The 24,539-nt window shown below is 36.0% G+C and overlaps 1 long non-coding RNA gene across 5 annotated transcripts in view; it reads right to left on the bottom strand.

Annotated features, from left to right (window-relative positions):
* Window positions 1-3,371: 3,371 nt before the first annotated feature.
* The window catches only part of LOC105370259 (uncharacterized), a 120,734-nt gene continuing 99,566 nt past the window's right edge, over window positions 3,372-24,539 (bottom strand). For 2 of the 5 annotated variants that reach the window (NR_187793.1, NR_187796.1), the window contains 3 exons: window positions 12,870-12,908; window positions 12,007-12,179; window positions 3,372-5,860 (listed from right to left, as the gene is read on the bottom strand). This is a non-coding gene — a long non-coding RNA (uncharacterized LOC105370259). The remainder of the gene's footprint in view (window positions 5,861-12,006; window positions 12,180-12,869; window positions 12,909-24,539) is intronic. The other 3 variants (NR_187795.1, NR_187797.1, NR_187794.1) reach the window with 2 other exon arrangements.

Here is a 24,539-nt window from a genome sequence, read left to right as displayed (position 1 = left end):
TATAAATTCCACATTGCCAGGAATTTGGTTCAGTGTGGTATCTCAGTTTCTTAGGACTGGTCATACAGTAAGCCCTCAATCAAAGTTCTTTTAAGTGAGTGGATTAGTTTGTTCTCACACTGCTGTAAGGATGTACCCAAAACTGGATAATTTATTAAGAAAAAGAGGTTTAATGGACTCAGTTCCACATGGCTGGGGAGGCCTCACAATCAAGGTGGAAGGTGAAGGAAGAGCAAAGACATATCTTACATGGCAGCAGGCAAGGGAGCATGTGTAGGGGAACGTCTTTTATAAAACCATCAAATCTCATGAGACTTATTCACTATCATGAGAACAGCATGGGAAAAACCCGGCCCCATGATTCAATTACCTCCCACAGAGTCCCTCCCATGACACATGGGGATTATGGCGGCTACAATTCAAGATGAGATTTGAGTGGGGACAAAGCCAAACCATATCAGGAAGTAAACTTTGAATGATACAACCCTCTGAAGATGGATCAGATTAACATGTCACTGGAATATCCCGCAAAGACAAAATAACAACACTTTAGGAATGTTGTCGAGGGGGCTCAAGTTTCACTGAAGCATTTGGATTTTGATGACCTTATTTATGGTTCTCCCCAATTAACTTCCAAATCTTAACATAGCAGAAATATGGTGAATAACAGTATCCCTTCTGCCTCATTATAAAAAGCAAAAGTGACATGTTTGACTACAGAAGATAAATTACCACATTTCTTTTTGAGACCTTCTGCAGAAGAGCCAGAATAATCTAGAAACACTTCCAAGGCCAACTAAGAAATAAGATGTTAAACATTTTTACGTGTGAAATTTAATCACTAAAGTTAATTTGGTTGAGAATTTAAATTAGCAAGAATCAAATTAAGAATATTTTTTTCATCTTTCAGGTATGTTGGAATACTTACCACAATCTAATTAAAAGAAGTCTAATCTAGTTGTTCTGGGTCACTCATTACTAGTAATCAGAAACTCTTGAATACATTGTTGAATTTTTCTATTTCAGTATTGTGTGGGTTTTTTTCCTTTTTCTTAGAACTAAAAATCTATTTGTTTTTTGTTTGTTTGTTTGTTTGCAAAGCAAAGTTTTTAACACCTTTCTAATGAAATTATTCTCTTTTAGATATTCAAATAATTTGTAATTTGTTGTCAGTTTCAGAGATTGGCTTAGAGCAAGACCATAAATATTCAGCTTGACATCACAAGACATCTGCTCTTTGATTGCAATATGCTACTTTTATGATTTTCTTTTGAGAACTCTGAGTTTTATTTACAAGTACCAGATTACATCCTATAAAACTTGAAGTGACTGCTTAGCATTAAGACTTGCAAATAACAATAAGATATATGCAGACACACATTAATAAATTGACCTTTATATTTTCCCCTCATGGTGCAATAGCTCATAGTCCCTCAGTAATTCCAAAGAACAGGGGCGAGGATGCAGAGACTTAGAGTTCATTTCAGACCTGGCACTAATTTTACACACACATAGAATAAGTTAATTATAATAAAGTTCATTGTTAATGCTAAAAAGCAGCATGTATGTGTGAGGGTCATGGGGGTGGAGGGAGATATATCTCTTATGAATACTGAATTATTGAACTTAAGAAAGAAATATGACTTTTTTTTTAACTGACTTGAGTCCTCTTTATATTAAGGATTCCCTTGTTTTCTATTTGTGTCTCTTTCATATAGAGCTTACATTTTGTTGTTTGTTTCCTTGCTACAAACTGAGGCCAAAAGGTTTGACTTCTAAAGTATTCTTTTCAAAGCTCTCAATTACTTAAAAATCCCTGGATTATCTAAAACTTCCCACAGACTACATTTATTTTAAAAGAATTGTGTGTGCATGCTTTTGTTCATTAACCATAGATTAAGAAGTGCAAGAAAATATGAACTATGAGGAACAAAAAGATGCTTCAAGAACTTTATGACTAAGTGTGTTGAATAATATACCTGAATATGCTGATCAAATAATGAAAGAGAATAAGCATGGTCATTATTTTATATCTATCAATGACATTGGCCATTCTGCTTAGAAAATATTTCTTAAAAATCTTATTTTTTATGTAGCCTATTTAATGATGTTTCTAATTTGCAAGCATAAGAAAGCAAAATGGTCATGTTTGAAAACCTGTTGCAGGGTTGAACTAAAAGCAGTAAGTGATGCCAGCATCACTGTCATAAATTTGTTTAATATAGTTGCTGCCTCAGCATTCAGTTTTAGACCTGACATAAGTTGTTTGAAACCTAGTCCAACCCCATCACTTTGGTTAAATTAAAACTTCCCCTCCCCATAGTGGTTGTTTACAACATAGCCTGCTTGTTCCTCCTCTTATTGGCCCAAAATCCAACACACACCACATCTGCTAACTACAATAAAACACATGATTAACACCAGAGTTATGTAAATAAGTTCTCCCTTTGCTGTGTTTTCTTTAAACTAGCCAATCCACAACCGCCACGCAAAAGCCTAAGGAATAATGCCCGTGGACCTTAAGAACCGCATAGTCCCACCGGTTCCTCTCTTTCTCTTTCTCTCTCTCTCTTCCCCAGCATCCATGTGTTGAGCTCCCTGTTGCCTCTGGGCTTCTTGCAGTCCTCCCATCAGCATCCCTTGCCTCTCTGGTCCTATTAGTAATAAATTTCTTCTGTTTCATACATTTTGGTTTTACTTCCTCATTGTGTCTCACCTGACACACACACCCAAATTTAACTTTCCACTGGTCAGGGCTCTCCTGGAGAGTGGCTATCCTGGCTTATGGCCAGTCTCATGACAGACTTCAAGACCAAATTAAATTAAAAGGAAACCATAACAATAGAAATCACAACCATCAGACTCAACAGGTCACCCTGCCCAACACCAACAACTCCTGAATTAGCCATCAAATGCTGAGCTAGAAACTTATTACAAATGAGACAAAGCAAGGAGAGTTCTACAGATTGTGTCCAGTTATAAATATTTTCCAAAATTATTGTTTGCTTTTGTGAGAATTTTCTTTTAATCCCCTGCAGTCACTGGAAAATAGAATTGCATACAAAGAATACATAAGAAGGGTTTAAATAATGCAGGCTGACCTTTCTAATTAAGGCCTTAAAAAGCAGTTTTCATGGTCAAGTTATAACTGTCAAGGCGCATTTCCCACAAATGTTTTGACTAATGTTAGAATTATAAATTACTTATAACTGAACTAGACAGTGAATCTCCAAGAAATCATTGAAATGTACAGAACTTTATAATACATAGTTTAAGCAGAATTTTCAACAGATACCCAGGCAGCTAACCATCTCTACTCATTTCTAACATCATAAACATAAGACACAGAGTAATAATGAATAGCTACTTTATACTTTAGTAAAGTGTTTATTGGCTTGAAAATATTAAACAGAATAAAAAATAACTCGTTAATTTATATTGTCTAACACTGTTTAGGCAAATAAAATTTGTATTCACTACATTTTATACTTACTTAGAATCTAATAACTACAAAATATTGAAGTATTTAAAATGGCATAGTGCTACTAGTGATTATCATGGTTTACATTAGCTGCTTTGAAAATGAACGCTTCGAAGCTTTTCCAACAATATTAGGTAATGTTTAACCTCTATGCTCAACTTTCTTCTGTGTTACATGAGATAGCAGGTACCTTAATTGGATGTCTTATTTCAGGATATCTGGGTGAATAATCCCTGCATAAGCATGAGAAAGGCCCTGGAGAAAAAGTAGAACTTCCATTTACTGTTCTCTGTGTGATCAAATGAGGTTTCCAATATTTGTTTATCTTTAAATTATCTCCAAAAACATAATTCTAGAGATATTTTATTAGTCCATTCTCACACTCCCATAAAGAGCTGAGACTGGGTAATTTATGAAGAAATGAGGTTTAATTGACTCACAGTTCTGCAGCTTGAACAAGAAGCATGGCTGGGAAGCCTCAGGAAACACAAGCATGGCAGAAGGTGAATGGGAAGCAAGCACTTATTCTCATGGCCAGCAGGAGAGAGAAAGAGTAAAGGGGGAAATGCCACACACTTTTAAACCATCAGATCTTGTGAGAACTCACTCACTATCATGAGGACAGCAAGGGGGAAATTTCCCCCAATGATCCAGTCACCTCCCACTAGGTACCTCCTCCAATATTGGAAATTATAATTCAACATGAGATTTGGGCGGGGACACAGAGCCAAACCATATCAGTTATAGTCCCATATTATGCAATTCAACTAGTAATTATTAAGTGCTGAAAATATACCCACACTCTTAAGTACTATAGGCTACTGTATTTTCACTCCTTTTATATAAATTTAAGTAAAAACAAAAAAACTTATTATTCTCATCCTTAAACCTCTACTTTTTTAATGCACTGGTAATCAGTCCAAAATATGTTCAATTATTTTTTGCCTACTCAATAATTTTTGTATTAAGACTCATGTTTGCCATGGATTAAATTATTTGCCAAATGACTACAAGTATCCTAGGCTTAGAGGAACTAAGGCCAGGGAATATTCATACTAAATTCTCTGTAAGCATGTAGATATGAAATGTAACACTCCAAAACTGGAGATTTGTTATCAAATCTTTATTATGATATTGTTATTGGGTATCTTTATTATGAAAGAAAATGAGTGATGCTGAAAAGAACACCAAAATGTGGAAGTTTCAAAAAGAAGCAAATTGAGAAATAAATTTAAGATAGTGTCTAATATAGTGATTTCAAAATAGTATTTGAGAAAAATCCTTTTGTTAAATATTGTTTGGGTCTTCTATAAAGTAAGTCAAAACATAGGTATAGTGTTAACTTTTTCTTACAGCCAGGAATATTATTAAGATATTACAGGAAAAAAAAGAATAACAGTACACTACACATTGACTTGTGAAAAAACAGCATTGAAGTTTCTGTTAGTTCAAACTTATAATCTTAAAAACACACTGAAAAGGTCTTAAAGTATCTGGACCAGATTCATCTTGATCAATAGTCTATTTTCCAGGCTCTTCCCATTGGTGTACCAGTTCTGAATCTTGATTCCCATGTAAGTTGGAAAAAGCCAATGGTAGCAACTGCCAAGAACACTTTTCTAAAAACCTACGTTTAGAATGAGTAGTAACTTTCTCTGCAATCAACTTAGACAGTTAACCACTCATTTTGACCTCCAGAACAAAAATAAAGCAAAAAAATCGACTGAAGGCTGATCTTAAAAATCTTGTATGTATTGTATGATCAGGGTTTCTATAATATATTTAAAATGAGATGCAGCTTTTAATGTATTGTATGGAAAGACCCTGCATCTGCTACAGTGCACTAGGACAGAGACAGAAAGCTTCATCCAGGGAAATAAACCTATAAGCACAGGCCAAAATAATTTACCTACCTTTGGCATATATCTTAAATGCCAGTTAAACTTGATATTGGAAAACACTCATTGGGGAATTTGCCTGTATACATGGCATCTACAGCACTAGCTCTGTACCACCCACTCAGTCCCTGGAGAGTTCTTCGAGCATCTTCTCTTCCCCTGAACTTCAGAAGAAACCATCTGCTGATGACACTGCCAGGAACTCGATCTCAGAAAGCCTTAAGCTGTTTTACTTCCATTTTTGTCTCAATCACTTTAACGTCTCACTGCTCTTTTCCTTCTGCTGGTGATCCAGGAGGTCTGCACCCCAACTCCTGTGTTCTGCTCTTCCCAGAAAAACTTCTTCCATCTGACTCCTTAGGGCATTTCCCCTTTCGTTCATTCAACAGATTCAGGCTGGGTCTCTCGTTTCTCTTCCATACATTTGCTTGTCTGTAAATACCAACCATTCACTCAAGGGTTTTTAAGGCTTTCTTCTTTACTATAAGGAGAAAAAAGGAAAGTATAATATCATCTGCAGTTTGATTTGAAATATGTAAAATCTATTTAGCATAGGGAGAAACTGAAAGAAAATATTAGAAATGTCAGTAGTTGTTCTGGTGATGTTTCCCCCACTTTCCTGTATTTTTTACATTTTCTATTAATGAATCTGTCCTATTTTCATAACAAAATAGTATCGTTATCTTAAAATAAAAGATGTTTTTTAAAATTATATATTTGGGGGAAGTTGATACAAGTGATGCTTTTAAATAGTAAAACCAAACAGATGACTACAAAATATGACTGTATTATATGAAAAACAGCTTTTGTCAGTATTTCCATTAAAATACAAATTGGAACTTACACAAACAACAACAAAAAAGACGAATACTTTTTAAAAAATCTTAATCTAAAACAATATCATAAAATCAGTTCACTTTTCATGAAAAAGTTTCTGATTTTAAAAAACATAGATATACAATTTTGGGTATGTACAAATTGCATATTGTAATGCAATGATATCTTGTAATGCATATGTAAACATATGTTATTAACTTGATTTAGTCATTCCTAAACGTATGCATATTTCAAAACATCATGTTGTACACAATAAACATGCACAATTTTTATTTGTCAAATAAATAAATAAAAAGATGCATGTTGTTTTTTTTTAAGTATCATCCCTCAGCCACAACTAAGCAGAGAAGCATGGTGTTCTGACAGGTTAGGAGAGGATCCATCAGTTCAAATCTCTCCCTGCATCAATGGTGTGTCTACCTGCCCAAGCAAACAGAGCTCTGAAGATGCCTAAAATGAATCCCCAAAATGGAACTAAGTACACTTACTTGGGAGCTTCCATACATAGGCAGAAAGGTCACCTTGTTATCCAACTATTCATTCTGTGTGTGCCTTCTAGTCTGGTGTTGCACACATAAGCAAAAGAAATCCTAATCTGAAAACATTCACTAATAAATTCACACTACTTCCTAGATGACTCTAGTGTTTAGTGATACCTTTGGGCATCTGTCTCTTATTGATTTGGGACATCTGATAATGCCATGCAAATCACTTGCATAGAGAAATTAAAATTGGAAGATTGCATGAAACATACACAGAAACTTTCACAAATCAATGCTTAGGAAAGTTAGACTAGTGAACAGTCTAGAGAAAATGGACAGAGTGATAAAGAAACAAGAATGATGACTAACAAGGGATTAGAGATTGATGTTCAGGACAAATGACTTTTTAATTACACTACACAGTCAAAGATGAAATGAAAATGATAATATCTTAACATATTAATTTTTCTGAAAATTTACACCAATCAAAATTAATCTTTGATTCATTCTGAGTCATGTTAAGAGTTAACATATAGATGGAATTATAATACATTGCATAATATACAGTTTCATTTTCTAAAATTGACATCACAATCAAATCTTGTTTTTCTTTGACTATTCACCATGATATTTGGCTTGGTTAAGTGGTCTCTTAAAAAGAGATATCAATTTTTTCGTATACTACAAAGACCATATTTTTTACAATATAAGCCTTAAGAAAAGATTAAATTTTTCTTTTGAGGAATATATCAGGTGCTAAAGGTTAAGAATTTTATTTGGAAGAAACTTTTTAATCACAGTCACCTACCAGCACCCTCCCTCCCAATTCTCACCTGTCCTGAAGATATAACGAGCTTAAGAACTTCTACAAAAGCAAAGCCATTAATACACCTGAACAATGTCTATTGGAACTATAGATGGAAGCTAAAAAGTTCAAGAGAAAAAAAAAAGATGAAAGTGAGATTCAAAGAGAAGGGAAATAACAGGGAGAAATACATAAGAGTTGTAAGTTGCATGAAACATTAATTTTGTAGAGTGCCATCAAAATTATCTTAGCAATACCAAGACTACTGTCTTTGAATTGGAAGCCAGTGAAGAGAAAATATAGTACAGCACCCTCCCCTCGCTAAGCTAGCTTTGTGTCACTTCTTGTATATTTTCTTCCATGTCTTTAATCTTCCCACCTAGAATGACCTCTGCCTTCCCACCTCCAACTATGCAAAACCACCCCTTGCTGCAAAGTCCAAATGAAGCTGCACTTCCTTGGTGACTTCCATGATCACTCAGTTTACAATGGACTGTAGCACTTAGTTCTTTAAGTATAAACTCAGTCTTTTACTGCTAGTTCCATGTTATGTTTGTACGATTGTGTCTGTAATTAACCTGTGAGCTCCTTGTGGGCAGAGGCTGAGTTTCTTTCATCTTTGTAACCATATTGCCCGGTATGTTGTCTAACACGTAACAGTCACTGAAGAAATGTTTTCTAGTATGAATGGACAGAATATATATCATTCAGAAACTAGAAGAGTGCTTGGCACTATTAGGTCAAAGGAATAGGTGATCAGTTGATGTCACCTGAGGCACATTCTTTTTTGTTTCAAACCAGCTGGATGTGAGTTTAGTAAAGGTTTCCTGAAGTTTGTATACATAAATATTAAGAATAATTCTCTCTCAACTTTCCTATTTTCCTTCTTTATCAATCATCAGGTGACATGGTTTGGCTCTGTGTCCCCACCCAGTTCTCATCTTGAATTGTATTCCCATAATTCTCATGTGTTGTGGGAGGAACCCAATGGGAGATAATTTGAACCATGGGGACAGTTTTCCCCCATACTGTTCTCATGGGAGTGAATAAGTCTCTCGAGATCTGACGGGTTTATCAGGGGTTTCTGCTTTTGCATTTTTCTCATTTTCTCTGCCGCTGTCATGTAAGAAGTGCCTTTAGCCTCCCACTATGATTCTGAGGCCTCCCCAGCCATGTGGAACTGTTAAGTCCAATTAAACCTCTTTTTCTTCCCAGTCTCGGGTATGTTTTTATCAGCAGCGTGAAAACAGACTAATACAGTAAACTGGTACCAGCAGAGTGGGGCGCTGCAGAAAAGTTACCTGAAAATGTGGAAGTGCCTTTGGAACTGGGTAACAGGTGGAGGTTGGAACAGTTTGGAGGGCTCAGAAGAAGACAGGAAAATGTGGGAATCTTTGGAACTTCCTAGAGACTTGTTGAAAAGCTTTGACAAAAATGCTGATAGCGATATGGACAATAAGGTCCAGGCTGAGGTGTTATCACACAGAGATGAAGAACTTGTTGGGAACTGGAGCAAGGGTGACTCTTGTTGTGTTTTAGCAAAGAGACTGGCAGCCTTTTGCCCCTGCTCTAGAGATTTGTGGAATCTTGAACTTGAGAAAGATGGGTACCTGGTGGAAGAAATTTCTAAGCCCCAAAGCATTCAAGAGGTGACCTGGGTGTTGTTAAGGGCATTCAGTTTTATAAGAGAAGCAGAGCGTAAAAGTTTGGAAAATTTGCAGCCTGACAAGGTGATAGAAAAGAAGATCCCATTTTCTGAGGAGAAATTCCAGCCGCCTATATAGAAATTTGCATAAGTAACGAGGAGCCAAATGTTAATCCCCAAGACAATGGGGAAAATGTCTCCAGGGCATGTCGGAGGTCTTCACTGCAGCCTTCACAGGCCTGGAGGCCTAGGAGAAAATGGTTTCTGGTTTCGTGGGCTGGGCCTGGGGTCCCCTTGCTGTGTGAAGTCTAGGGACTTGGTGCCCTGTGTCCCACCCACTCCAGCCATGACTAAAAGGGGCCAAGGTACAGCTCAGGCTGTTGCTTCAAAGGGTGAAAGCGTCAAGCCTTGGCAGCTTCCATGTGGTCTTGAGCCTGTAGGTGCACAGAAGTTAAGAATTCGGGTTTGGGAACCTCCGCCTAGATTTCAGAGGATGTATGGAAACGCATGGATGCCCAGGCAAAAGTTTGTTTCAGGGGTGGGGCACTCATGGAGAACATCTGCTAGGGAAGAGCAGAAGGGAAATGTGGGGTCAGAGCCCCCACGCATAGTTCCTACTGGGGCACTGCCTAGTTGTGAGAAGAGGGCCACCATCCTCCAGACCCCAGAATGGTAGATCCACCAACAGCTTGCACCATGTGCCTGGAAAAGCCACAGACACTCAATGCCAGCCCATGAAAGCAGCTGGGAGGGGGCTATACCCTGCAGAGCCACAGGGGTAGAGCTGCCCAAGACTATGGGAACCCACCTCTTGCATCAGCATGACCCGAATGTGAGACCCGGAGTCAAAGGAGATCATTTTGGAGCTTTAAAATTTGACTGTCCTGCTGGATTTTGGACTTGCATGGTACCTGTAACCCTTTTGTTTTAGCCAGTTTCTCCCCTTTGGAATGGCTGTGTTTACCCAATACCTGTACCCCTGTTGTATCTAGGAAGTAACAAGCTTGCTTTTGATTTTTCAGGCTCATATGTTGAAGGGACTTGCCTTGTCTCAGATGAGACTTTGGACTGTGGACTTTTGGGTTAATGCTGAAATGAGTTAAGACTTTAGGGGACTGTTGGGAAGGCACGATTGGTTTTGAAATGTGAGGACATGAGATTTGGAGGGGCCAGGGGCAGAACAATGTGGTTTGGCTCTGTGCCCCTACCCAAATCTCATCTTGAATTGTACTCCCATAATTCCCATGTATTGTGGGAGGGACCTAGTGGGAGTTAATTGGAATCATGGGGGCACTTTCCCCCATACTGTTCTTGTGGTAGTGAATAAGTCTCACGAGATCTGATGGGTTTATCAGGGGTTTCCACTTTTGCATCCTTCTTATTTTCTCTTGCCACTGTTATGTAAGAAGTGCCTTTAGTCTCCCACCATGATTCTGAGGCCTCCCCAGCCATGTGGAACTGTAAGACCAATTAAACCTCTTTTTCTTCCCAATCTCGAGTATGTCTTTATCAGCAGCATAAAAATGGACTAATACATCAGGCAAACAAAAGAAAAAGGAAAATCTCAGAAGTTGAATTTCTTCTACCCAGTTTAGGTATATGTGATTGGTACCCTTTGCTGATTGCAGGTTTTTGCTAAGGAATTCAGCTGCTGTCAAGGTAATATTAACTCTGAAGTAGCTTTCTTCTTCTGTCCTCATTACAATCCCAAATTCGTTTTTACATAAATAATTTTTTGAAGTTGTAGAATATTCAATATAGTACTTATTTAACTTAAATCTCTCATAAATTTTGAGAAAAGACCATAAACCTTTTCTGAGACAAAACTTTACAATACTAGACACCAACTATCAAACCTTCAATAAAATAATTACAAAAGAATATTTTCTTTACTAAATATATTAATTTCTACTTGTGTTTCTCTAATGATTAAATAAACTATTGCTGAAACCCATTAAGACAAGCAAAGTATGTGCATCGATAAGAAAGGAATAATATACTAAAGGCTTGTCATTATAAGGATTTAGATGTGTCACCAAAGTCCAGTTCCCTGGGCTGACATAGTGTTTTATAGAATTGAAGGTAAGAAGAACTTATATAGAAAATCTGGCAGTTTCTTAGGCCAGTTGTCAAATGTTAGCATTACCAAAGTTCCATTATAATTGAAAGTAAGTAATTTATTGAATAATTTTAAAAATATAATATGCCTTCTCTTAATTCTGAGCTGTCATATTTTCATAAGGAATGAGTTTGTACAAACTAAGGTCATCTCTGCTGCTGTGTCAAACAGACCTGGAAATAGAATGCACTCCTGTGTAAGCCATTGAGAGAGTCTCCAGGAAAACGAATGTGTAATTGTTTCCAGTCAATGTTCAGTTTTTTTCTGACTTGTTGATTCAGTATATTTTGAAGCATAAAAAATAATAAGATGTATTAATTAAATCTTTTATTAATTTATTTTTTTATTTTTTATCTTTTATTAAAATAAGATTTATTTAGACAAAGCCAAACTTCAGTCTTAATAGATCAAGCACAAATATGATAATCTCACTGGTAAGTTAATTCCGTGTAGAGATATGTCAGTAATATTTTTACAGCTGGCTAGATCATACTTTAGATCACCAAGTTGCTATGAGTCTTTTGGTGGGAATTATTTTAAATACAATTGTTAGACATGTCTATTCTTAAAATAGACAAGAATTACCTGGGTTAACCGTTAGCTTGTTTTGAACTACATCTAATATTAATTAGCCAAGGTATCAGCACAGGAAGAATTTTTAAATTTGCTTAAATAAAAATACTTTAAATGATGTGTACAATTTCATGTATATCTACAGACTAAAAGTGCTTTTACTTACAAAAGTCATTTTGAGCAGTCAGTATTGTGACTCTAAACCAGCAGTTCCCAGACTTTTGGTCTTGGGATCCTTTCACACTCTTGAAAATGAAGGAAGACTGAAAAACTGTTCCAGACAGCAGGAGACCAGGCAAAAGTAATAACAAAATGTGATATGGGATTCTGAATCAGTTCCTGGAGCCAAAAAAAAAAAAGACATTAATGGAAAAGCTAGTAAAGCTTAAATGGGGTTTTTATTTGTTAATGGCATTGTAGTAATGTTAATTTACTGATCGGATAAGTATATCATGGTTATGTAAGACGTTCTCATTGTGAGAGGCTGCAAGAAGGATTTTTGAAAACTCTCTGTACTATTTTTACAACTTTTTTGCACATCTAAAGAAACTCATAATAAAAAGATTTTATAAATTATTAAGAACAGCAAAAAGCTTTTGTTTATAGAGGTATCAATATCAACAATATCAATATTCAAAATTTTAAACTGAGAAATGTTAAGGTATATACTTATTAAGTCATTTTTAATGTAATAACTATCCAGTTAGATGTTAACATAAATAGCAATTTTATGAAAAATAATTATATATTTTAAAATAAAATATTTAATTAGAAGAGTAGCATTATTTTACATTTTTGCAAATCTCTTTAATGTCTGGCTTAAAAGAAAACACTTGGTCTCTTGTATCTGTTTCAACATTCAGTTTATTCTAATATACAATATAGAGTGGTGTTGGGGTTTTTTGATTGAAGTAAATAAAAAATAAAATAACCTCACAGAGGTATATAGTTGAAAAGGGAAGAAGGATATCTTTTAGAATTTTTCTGATAACTGTGGATATTCTCCTTTGATACTAAACCAAAACTCACCAAGTGATGATTTCTTTAAGGTTAGCTGCAACATGGAATCTGAAACCATAATAAAACTTATTTTTCACTCTGTTACATTAAAATCTATTGGACTATTTTGCACTTTAAGCTTTTACCCACATGTGATTTTGTACTATCACGAATCAGTCATTTGAAAAATATTTCTTATGCAGAGTTTCTAAATGTTAAATGTCTAATTATAAGATATAGATAAAAGCCCACAATTCTTAATATCATTACTAATCTCATCAGAACCATCTTTAAGTGTTGATAATCTTTCAAGTTTATGGTAGCAAATACAAGTCTTACAAAATTCTAATTTTTCACTTGAGCGGTTGGGTTTCATTATGGACAACATACACTGTCAGTGTCTTCCCAACAAGCTCACTTCGTTCATTTTTGAGGAAATGCCTACCAAATAACAAGACTGAAAAACCATAGATAGTCAGTTATTCTTTCAAGTAAAAATAGTGTTCTGTGTAAACCCCAGGTAGTTCAGCTCACAACCCAAACAATTGCGCAAGTGCTTTCTTTGAGGCAACTCTCATACTGCATTGTGTAGTAGAGTGGTTTATGCAGAATATATTTGAAAACATGTATACTTGAAGCCAAAATGTAATAAAAGTGATTATTTATACTGCCTTTTCAAGGGCATGCTCAGGGCAAACTGGCTTCATTTTTTTTGTTCTGTAGTGATGAAGACCGCAATGACTTCTGACAACAGTTGGGCCCACTGCCTATATCTGTGCTAAGGCACCACAGTTTAACCCACTATGGCTTTGCACCACCAGGGTGCAAATGGCAAAACAGTGCAAAGGGCAAATATATTCTTACTGTTATGAATAGTTTTGGCTTCACAGACTCCTAGGTACCCCCCAAGCTTCCACAAACCACACTTTGAGAGCCTCCACTCTAACAGAAAATGAAATCTCATCACAATAGCAAAATGTATTCTTCTACAAAATAATACTGGGCAATGGTTGCACAGAGATAGATGTGGAATATTTTCTAGAGAAAAGAAACAGTTTTGAGAAGCTCTGTGAGTGAAAAGACACATCCTTCCTGAGTTTACATAATAGATAGATAGAACCCTGGGCTTTTGCAGAGCCATTCAGAATCAGTGGGCGTATGGAAAAGTAGAGTTCCATTTTCTTGAGTCATGCAGCGATAGGAAAGGAGAGTGGCACAGGGAAAGACAAACTAATGTATATAATCTTTACTTTTAACCAATAGAAAGACCATGGTCTCTGCTAAATTCTCCGTGTTGTTCACAATGTGACATGCTCCCTGAAAACAGGAATTGCTTTTTATTTTTTAATCCCTAGGCCAAATACAATGATTAGTATCTAGACAGGATTCAATAAGTGCTGAAAAAATGAATAGACAGGCTGGGTGCAGTGGCTCACACCTATAATCCCAGCAGGGATTTGGGAGGCCAAGGTGGGAGGATTGCTTGAGATCTGGTGTTAAAGACTAGCCTGGGCAACATAGTGAGACTGTTTCTAAAAAAAAAAAATTAAAAGAAAAACATTAGTCAGGTGTGGTGGTGCATGCTTGTAGTCCTAGCTACTCTGGAGGCTGAGGCAGGAGGATCGCTTTTGCCCAAGAGACTGAGGCTGCAGCAGCCTGGGTAACAGAGTGATACCCTGTCTAAATAAATAAATAAAAATGACTGGACAAACAACAAACTAAAATGCCTGTAGTTATTAAACATTATTTGACTTCAGGATAGGAAACAAGGGAATTGATTATTAAACTGCACAACAGGATGGAGATCTAAAAAGAGAACAAAGTCCTAGTAGGAAAATTCAGGGTACTTGAGAATTCATATTTCTTGTGATTCTCTTTTGCATTTCTTTCGATCTATCTGGTACAACTTTTCTCCTTTACCTAAAGCAATTTTGCTAATGGATTTAGTAAAAAAAAAAAAAAAAAAAATTAGAACAACACACATAGATGTATTTGTATACATTCAAGTACTGAGCGCTCCCAGAAATTCAAACCTGCAATCACCCACGTAGGTGAATTTCAGGTAGAAAAGTGGGGACAGGGTAGCACTATTGAGTCACAGAAGAAATTGAAGTCTGCATCCTGGGTTTGAGTCTGGCTCTGCCATTGCAGACTGTATAAACTAGATTAATTATCCTCTCAGTTCAGTCACCTCACAGGTAAAGTCAAATAACAGTCTGGGTTATGCTTACCCTAGAATTTTATGAAGAGCAAATTGCAGAGATTAAGATAATAAGATAAGTTATACAGCCTTCAAAAAACTGAGAGTCTTTTTATCTTCCACTCCACCACATTGTCAGTGGGGAAAGTTTAGTTCACTCCTAGAGTGCCTGGCAGGTGATATAAGATGAAATCACATAGACTACATCTCTCCTCCCACCTGGCCTAGGTAGGATAAAACTTCAACAAACTCAAGGCATGAAGCATTTTTTTCCTGTCTTTCTCGGTCCCTCTTCTCCCTGTGCTGCTCTCATCCTCTTGGCCTGCCATGTTGTAGCAGAAGTGATGATAAAGAATTCACATATAACCCTCCATGTGAGGAGGGTATTTAGTGAAAAGGCAGAGATAAAAGATAGTTTCTCACTCTGCATATCTCCTCTTACCCCTGCTACACACACGTAGGACTTTCCCTAAAGGCCAACATATTTTTGGCTGATGGCTACTCTCAATTTTTCTACGGACAAGATGAGAATGTGGAAAATAAAAAGCAACTGTCTCCGCATATACTTCATCCCATTTCATTTGAAGCAATGGGCAGAAAAATAAACATGGAGAAAGTATGCCTTGGGCAAAGGGCACTCAGCTTATACAAATTCTGCCCAAACATAAAAATAATTGAAAGGGTTTTTAAACACCAAGAGAATGAAACATTCAGAGACTTTTCTAAACGAGCTATGAATAACCTTATATTATTAACTCATCAATTGCTAAATAAAAACTAATACATTTAGATTATTCACCTTGGAAAAAATAATGGAAAGAACATGATTTTGCAGCACACTAATATTTTTTGAAAAACTAAAATATCTCATTATTCCAAAATCAGTTGTGATGCAATTAAATGCGAAGGCAATTTATTTCTCTTCCTGATATCTGACATTATTCAAATGAAAAGTAACATAATCCATCTTGAATTCTTACTCTTTTAGAAAACAAAAGAAATGTTAGAAATGTTACTCTTTGAAATGAAATATTTTTCTCATTTATGCAAATGATTGCATCTTAAATTCCATACAATAAAATAATGTAAATCAATATGCCTTCTAATACAAATGAAAACTATGGCCTAAACTTTTCTTGACCATTAAAATCTTTCGCGGTAGTGACATGATCTTACTGGTGAAACTGATTAAATCTCTTCTTTAACATATACCACAAGAGAAGAGAAAGTAATACAAACTAGAAATCTGCATTCATTCGGCCAAATTTTATTTTTTCATGGTCTTGCATTTGAGCACTGCTAGATGTCATTGCATGAAGTGTCAGCTCAACAGAGATTCAAAAGAAGAACAAAACTGCAATTTATTGGAGGTGATAAAGCATTAAAATCTGCTTTATTTTATGGCTAAAGTGTTTCATTACTATTTAATGTCATTGTTTTAAACATGATATTGTTGGAATCTCTTTAACAATGCTAAGCTTTAAAAACTCAAGTCAAACACCCTTTTGTTATCATAGGGGGACTATAGATTCAATTATTTCCAGGTTTGACAATTAAACTTTACCTCTCCTTGCAAAAACTCACATTTCCTACAGCAAAACAAAGGGTGATCATATCTTAAGAGGGGAGCTCAATGAGTGAGTGTTGTCAAATAAGCACACATTGGCTGTGTGTACAAATGATCTAAACACAGTTACTACAAACATTCTCATTAAAGACATGAACTTAGGTTCCATTAGATCCATATCATAAGAAACTATTGTTATCATCCTAACAACTGAACCAAGCTGGAGCAGTTACAAAACCATAGTCTTTTACTTTTAATTCATTGCAAAGTTGAGTACACAAAGAAACCTGAATGAACAAAATTCCAGAAAGTAACAAACTTTTCATACGGGAGAAAAGATCCGGGGCTGCTCTTATCTATAGAAAAATAGGAGGATGATGAAGTGCCAGCCAAATCATTTATAAGCATTTAATTGCAAAGTGTGGGTAACTGTGACATTAAAAACTTGAAGGAGGTACAGAGAGAATACAGGACTATGCCAACCTGAAAACTCTTAGCCACAGGTCCTTACTGAGAGCCCAGGGGTGTATACCAAAGGCTGACATCGGCAGGAAAACAAATAAGAATGCCTGCAAACTTCTTATCAGAAAAGGCATAAGCCAAAAGACAATGGAACAACGTAGAGTACTGTAAGAAAATAACCAGCAGGCTAGATTCTCTATCTAGCAAAATATCGTCAAAAAAATGAAGGCAAAGTAAACACATTTTTAGAAAAACTAAAGCTGAGAAAATGTGTTCCTAACACACCTACACTAAAAGAAATGTTAAAGGAAGTTCTTCAAGCTAAAAGAAAATGACACCAGATGGAAATTAGAATCCATAGAAAACAGAATGCTAGAAATAATAAACGTGAATAAATATAAAAGATTGTTTTGTTATTTATTAACCTCTTTAAAAAATAATTAAGAGAACAGAAAATTCACTAAAAATATTCAAAAATGACATAAAAAACATAAAAAGCCTTTAGTCTCACTAAAATTAGAGAAATTAAACAACACAAAGACACCATTTCTCACCTATCAGACTGGCAAACGTCTAAAAGCAAGACAGCAAATTCTGTTGACAAGGCTATAGCAAACACATTTTCTCATACACTGCTTATGTGAATGAAAATTGGTCTATGACTTCTGGATGAAAATTTGACAATATTTAGCACAACCACATATATATCCTGAAAATACTCTTCTAATAATATGAATATTATGCATAGGCTGAAATAATATGCATAGGGTTATTTATTGCTGCATTGTTCATATTTGCAAAGTAGTGGTAATAAACCAAATATCCATGTGTTCGAGAGGGATTGAATAAATTATGATACATTTACACAATGGAATACTATGCAGCTATAAAAAGAACGAGGAATATTCCTCTAAGATGACTTGTTTTTCACAGGCTATATTGGTAAGTGGAAAAAAGCAAATTACAAAGCATTATGTCATAATCTTACAACATAAGATTCTATACGTCATGTGAGAAAGAAAGGAATACTAGAATAACTATAATTAAAAAGAGATAACAACAAGTTGGTGAGAATATGGAGAAATTGGAACCCCCCACATATTGCTATTAATAGTAGGAATGTAAAATGGTGCAGCTGCTTTGGAAAAACAGTCTGGCAGTTCATCAAAAGTCAAACATAGAGTTATCAATGACCCAGCAATTCTATTCCTACTCATGTATGAATAGAAATGAAAACATGTTTGCATAAAAGCTGTACACAAATGTTCGTAGCAGCCTTATTTATAGTAGCCTCAAAATGGAAACAACCAAAATGCCCATCAACTGATAAATGGATAAATAACGTGGTATACACATACAGTGAAAAATTATTCAGCAATAAAAAGGAATAAAGTACTGATTGATGCTACAACATGGATGAATCTTGAAAATATGTTGCATGCAGGAAACCAGCCACTAAAGACCATATAAATTAGTTGTTATCTCGGGCTGGGAGGAGGGTTATGGAGAATAACAAATTATGTCTACAGAGTTTCTTTTAGGGATAATGAAACTATTCCAAAATTGATTATGGTGATGATCACACAACCCTGTGAATACCCTAAAATCATGTACACTTGAAATGGGTTAATGTTACAGTATGTGAATTATATCTCAGTAGAGCTACTATATTAAAACAAGAAGGAAAGAAGATAGAAAATATACATCATTTATGCAAAAGAAATACAAGAGAGATAAGTTGTAAACTTAAAAGATTCATTCCAACAGAGAGTGGGTAGGAAATGACAAAAAGAAGGGGAAAATGGACTACAGTAGTAGAGATTAAGAGGAAGAAATATTTCTTAATAAGTTTTTAATGTATATATTTATCTTATTTATAATGATATGGTCTGGCTCTGTGTCCCCAGCCAAATTTCATCTTGAATCGTAATCCCAATTGTAATCCCCATGTGCTGGGGGAGGGACCTTGTGGGAGGTGATTAGATCATGATTCCCCATGCTGTTCTCATACTGAGTGAGTTCTCATGAGATCTGATGGTTTTATAAAGGTCTTTTCCTCCCTTTGTTCTGCACTTCTCCTGCCACCATGTGAAGAAGGACGTGTTTGCTTCCCCTTCTGCCATGATTTTAACTTTCCTGAGGCTTCCCCAGCCACGCGGAGCTGTGAGTCAATTAAACCTCTTTCCTTTATAAACTACCCAGTCTTGGGTATTTCTTCATAGTAGCATGAGAACAGACTAATACAGGATACAAACATGAGGTTTCTGGATCAAGGCAAATTATTATTACTTATAGTAATAACCACATCAGTTCCTCTTGCCCTAATATCCTAGGCACAAAGCACAAAAACCAAATGTTACCCTATATATATATATATGAGGTGGGTCCTGAAGGAGAATACCTCCAAAATTATGAGCCTGACAGTTTGTATAGGAGAAGAAAAGCTGCCCTCTATTCTTTTCTGCCAGAGGAAAGGCAATATCCACTCCCTAGTTGTCTACAATAACATGCAATGTAAATGACAGGCTTTAGGGCTCTAGGTCTCATCCCCATTTGAAATAAAACAAAGTCTCTCAGGAAGATAAAGGAGAAAGTTCCTACCCTGCAATGCAAACAGTTGGCTCTAGAAAGATAAGTTTTACTACTGACAGTAGGAGCAAATGTCTTGTGGTCTAATACCCTTTAATTTCCAAGACTTATCTTTTAATCCAGGTCCTAATTTTCATTACTCAGGAAGTCCCAATTATGCACAAACATGAAAATATCTTCCTTTCCTTCACGATATTTCTCTGGGTATATTCTCAGCATAGCTTTGATTTTTAGAACCATAATAAAGTCTCAAATACCCATAAAACTAAATAGTTATTAAAATCACTCAAATTGTTGGGGGATCTGAAAATTGAATACAAGACAGTAAGAGATGAACCTAAATATGTTACAAGTGAATAGGATAACCACACTGAACGGAATGAGGTAGAAAAGAACTAATCTAAGTAACTTAGAGTTTGGTGTGGACATTATAAAGCTAAACATGTAAGTAACTATTCACAAATGTACTTAGTAAATCTGTTTCTGAAAGGAGCATGTGTATACAATGATCTAACAAATAAGTAAATATATTGTAGATAAAGAGACTCTGTTTCCATTGTCAAAGGAAGAAGTTACGAATAAGAAAAAGGAGGACAGAATTAACCCTATAGTGTCAGATTATAATTGGAGGCATAACTATGAATTCATGAGCATTAATATATGTTAAGTTATATATAGAAATATAAATGCAGAATTGTATGTATGTGTGAGTAGTATACTTGCATATATTTCCAAACCCTGTCATTTGAGAGATCCTAAAAACAATAACACTTCCGTAACAAGTACTCTGTGCCTGGATCTTTGTTTCTAAATACCATTCGCCAATCAAAAGAACCATGGCTAGTCAGAGAAGTGGTTGATTCCAAGGCTGATGCAAAAATTAAAATAAAATAAAATGAAACTGAAATATATCATGGTGTCAGAAAATGCTAGAATAGCATGAGTCACAAAATTAAAAATGATAATATTAAATAATATTCAAAGGAGTAAACATTTATGACTTCCCAATTTATTTTAAATAATTGAATACATAAATAAACATGGGAGAATAAATAGTTCTTCATTACAGAAAAATTTCAATTAACAAATATAAAAGAAATTAGGGAAATACAAAATCAACCTCAAACAAGTATCATAGTAATAATTGCTGCAGGCAAAACTCACTGATGACGGCTAAAATCAGTGAGCACGGTTTTCAGGAAAAATGATATTTGAGTGGTTTCACAGTGTTTTGCCCAAGATATTTATTAATTGCAAAAAGGAAAGTGATAATTTTATGGTGGAGCAACCTGGCAGACAATATTTTAGTGAAAATGATTAAAGTTAATATCATCTGTAATGAGACATATTGACATCATATACACCCTGATATGATGCACTGGGAAGGACACAACATCACTTCTACAGTGTACTTGCCAAAGATGTATCAATTTAATCACAAGAATACAAGAGTCAAAACCAAACTGAGAGACACTCTACAGCATAACTGACCATTATTCATTAAAACTGTCAAATTCAAGAATTATCATTGATTAGAGGAGACTAAAGAGACATAAAAAGTAACTGCAATGTGGAATACTGGATTGGATCCTGAGATAGAAGCAATGAACTACTGGAAAACTGATGGAATTCAAGGAGCATCTATTGTTTGCTTAAAAGTATTATGCCAAAGTCAATTTCTTTGTTTTGATAATTATCCTTGCTAATATAAGATGTTAGTATTAAGGGAAGCTGGATGAAAGAATACATGAATTCTTTGTATCATTTTTGCAACTTTCCTATATATAAAATTATTTCAAATGAAAAAAATTCTTGCACACATATGTTCATTGCGCACTATTCACAATAGTAAAGACATGAAATCAACCCAAATGCCCATCAATGATAGGCTGGATAAAGAAAATGTGGTACATATACACCATGGAATACTATGCAGCCATTAGAAGGAACAAGATCATGTCCATTTCAGGGACATGGATGGAGCTAGAAGCCATTATACTCAGCAAATTAACACAGGAACAGAAAACCAAACACCACATGTTCTGACTTACAAGTGGGAGTTGAATGATGAGAACACATGGACACAGGGAAGGGAACAACACCCACCGGAACCTGTCTAGGTGGAGGGCGAGGCATGGGAGGGAGAGAAGAGGAAAAATGCATGCAGGGCTTAATACTTAGGTGATGGGTTGATAGGTGCAGCAAACCACCATGACACACGTTTTCCTATGTAGCAAACCTGCACATCCTGCACATGTATCCCACATGTATAAAAATAAAAAAAAAAACTGAGAGGCTGAACACAAGGAGGAAACTGTTATATTTTTTTTAAAAAAGAAAAGAAAGAAAAAATTCAAGAGGTAATTTATTGTTTTAAAAATAGTAAGTTAGTGTGTGGTTTGTAATATGTGTAGAAATAAAGTGTATGAAAATAATAGTCCAAAGGGTATGGTAGGGAAGAAATGAAAAGGTATTCTTAAGAAGTTCTTATATTACATGTACAGCAATATATTATTATTTAAAGATAGGCTGTGATAAGCTAAGGATACATTTTGTTAATAATTAAGCAACTACACAAATAATAATACAAATAATTATGATTAAGTCAATAGCAGAAATAAAATAGATACTAAAAAGTATGCAACTGAAACAAAATGGGTAAACAGGAAATAAAGTAACACAGAATGGATGAGGCAAATAGAAAACAAATAGACAATGCTAGCTGTAAATGCAAACATTTCCATAATTATTTTTTAAAGTTGTCTGAACATTTCAAAGATAAACACTTGCAAAAAGTTTTTTTAAAGCAACAACTGTATCTATAAAACATACCTTTTCCACAAATATACAGAACAATCTAATAAAAATCACACAAAAGATTTGAACATTTTGCCAAAAAAGAGGTATAGTAAAAAAGAAAAGTAAAAAATAAAAAGGTACAGTAAAAATACAACATTATAATTTCATAGGACCACTATGATATACAATTGGGTCAACAATGGACAGTATATACCCTTAAGATCATTAGTGAAACTGAAAATTTTCTACCACCTAGTGACATTGTAGTCGTCATAATGTCATAGTGCAGCATATTACCTTTCCTATGTTTAAATACACAATTAGAAGAGAAGATGGTGGATAGGAGGCAGGACTAGCTTGCAGCTCCCACTCGCACAGACACAGTAGCATGTGGAGACTCACATTGTGAACTTCTGCTCCACCAACTACCACAGCAACATACCAGGAATGCTGAGAGAATCCACAGACCCTTTGAAGGAACTGCATCACTGCTACAGGCTCCCTGAGACTCTGAAAAGCTGTGAGTCGGCTGGTTTTCTCAGCAGGGAGGCTGGTGGTCTGGGGCAAGTTCTCAGCCCTGGTCACCGGCTGCATGGAAATAAACTCAGTGCTGTTGGGGGTGCACGGTGGTCAGAGTGAGAACTGGCCTTTAGGACTGCAGGCCGTGTGGAGTGGGGTGAATCCTTGGCTGCCGGATTTCCACCCTTTCCCTGGCGACCTGTGTGACTCAGCAGAGGCAGCCATAATCCCCCTGGAAACATAACTCCATTGGCCTGAGAACCACACCCCCAACCCCCACAGCAGCCACAGCACGCCCTGCCGGAGAAGAGTCTGAGCTCAGACACACCCCCATCTGGTGGTCTTTCCCCACCCATCTGGTTGCAAAAACAAAGGACATAATCTCTTGGGTGCTCTATAGCCCCACCTACCACCTGATCCTCCCTGTGCAACTACAGATGATGCACTCTTGAAAGTACCACCCCCTGGTTGGAGGCCAACCAACGAGAAACCAGTGCACTAAACAAAAATACAACCAAGAAACCTCAGAGTCCTCTTCGCGCCTCTGCTACCTCCCCTGGAGCAGGTGCTGGTATCCATGGCTGAAAGACCTGAAGAAAGATCACATCACAGGACTCTGCAGACACTTCCCAGTACCAGCCTGGAGCCCAGTAGCTCTGCTGGGTGGCTAGACCCAGAAGAGCAAAAACAATCACTGCAGTTCAGCTCTCATGAAGCCCCATCCCTAGGAGAAGGAGAAGAGCAACACATCAAAGGAGCACACCATGGGACAAGAGAATCTGAACAGCAGCTCTTGAGTCCCAGATATTCCCTCTGACATAGTCTACCAAAATGAGAAGCCAGAAAAACAATTCTGGTAATATGTCAAAACAAGGTTCTTTAACACTCCCAAAAGGTCACACCAGCTCACCAGCAATGGATCCAAACCAAGATGAAATCTTTGAATTGCCAGAAAAAGGAGTCCAAAGGTCAATTATTAAGCTAATTAAGGAGGCACCAGAGAAAGATGAACTCCAACTTGAAGAAATCAAAAACATAATACAGGATGTGAAAGGAAAAATCTTCAGTGAAACAGATAGTATAAATAAAAACCAATTACAACTTCTGGAATCAAGGACACACTTACAGAAATGCAAAATGCATTGGAAAGTCTCAGCAATGCACTCAAACAAGCAGAAGAAAGAATTTCAGAGCTCGAAGACACGGCTTTTGAATTAACCCAATCTGTCAAAGACAAAGAACAAAGAATAAGAAAAAATGGACAAAGACTCCAAGAAGTTTGAGAATATGTTAAGCATCCAAACCTAAGAATAATTGGTGTTCCCAAGGAAGAAGAGAAATCTAAAAGTCTGGAAAAGATATTTGAGGGAATAATCAGGGGAAAATTCCCTGGCCTTGCTAGAAATCTAGTCATCCAAATACAAGAAGCTCAAAGGACACCTGGGAAATTCATCACAAAAAGTCATCACCTAAGCATATAGTCATCAGGTTATTTAAAGTCAAGACAAAGAAAAGAATCTTAATAGCTGTGAGGCAAAAGCATCAGGTAACCTATAAAGTAAAA

The sequence above is a fragment of the Homo sapiens genome, chromosome 13 (assembly GCF_000001405.40).
Source record: "Homo sapiens chromosome 13, GRCh38.p14 Primary Assembly".
In the NCBI taxonomy this organism is placed as follows: domain Eukaryota; kingdom Metazoa; phylum Chordata; class Mammalia; order Primates; family Hominidae; genus Homo; species Homo sapiens.
This window is presented reverse-complemented; position numbering and strand designations above follow the sequence as displayed.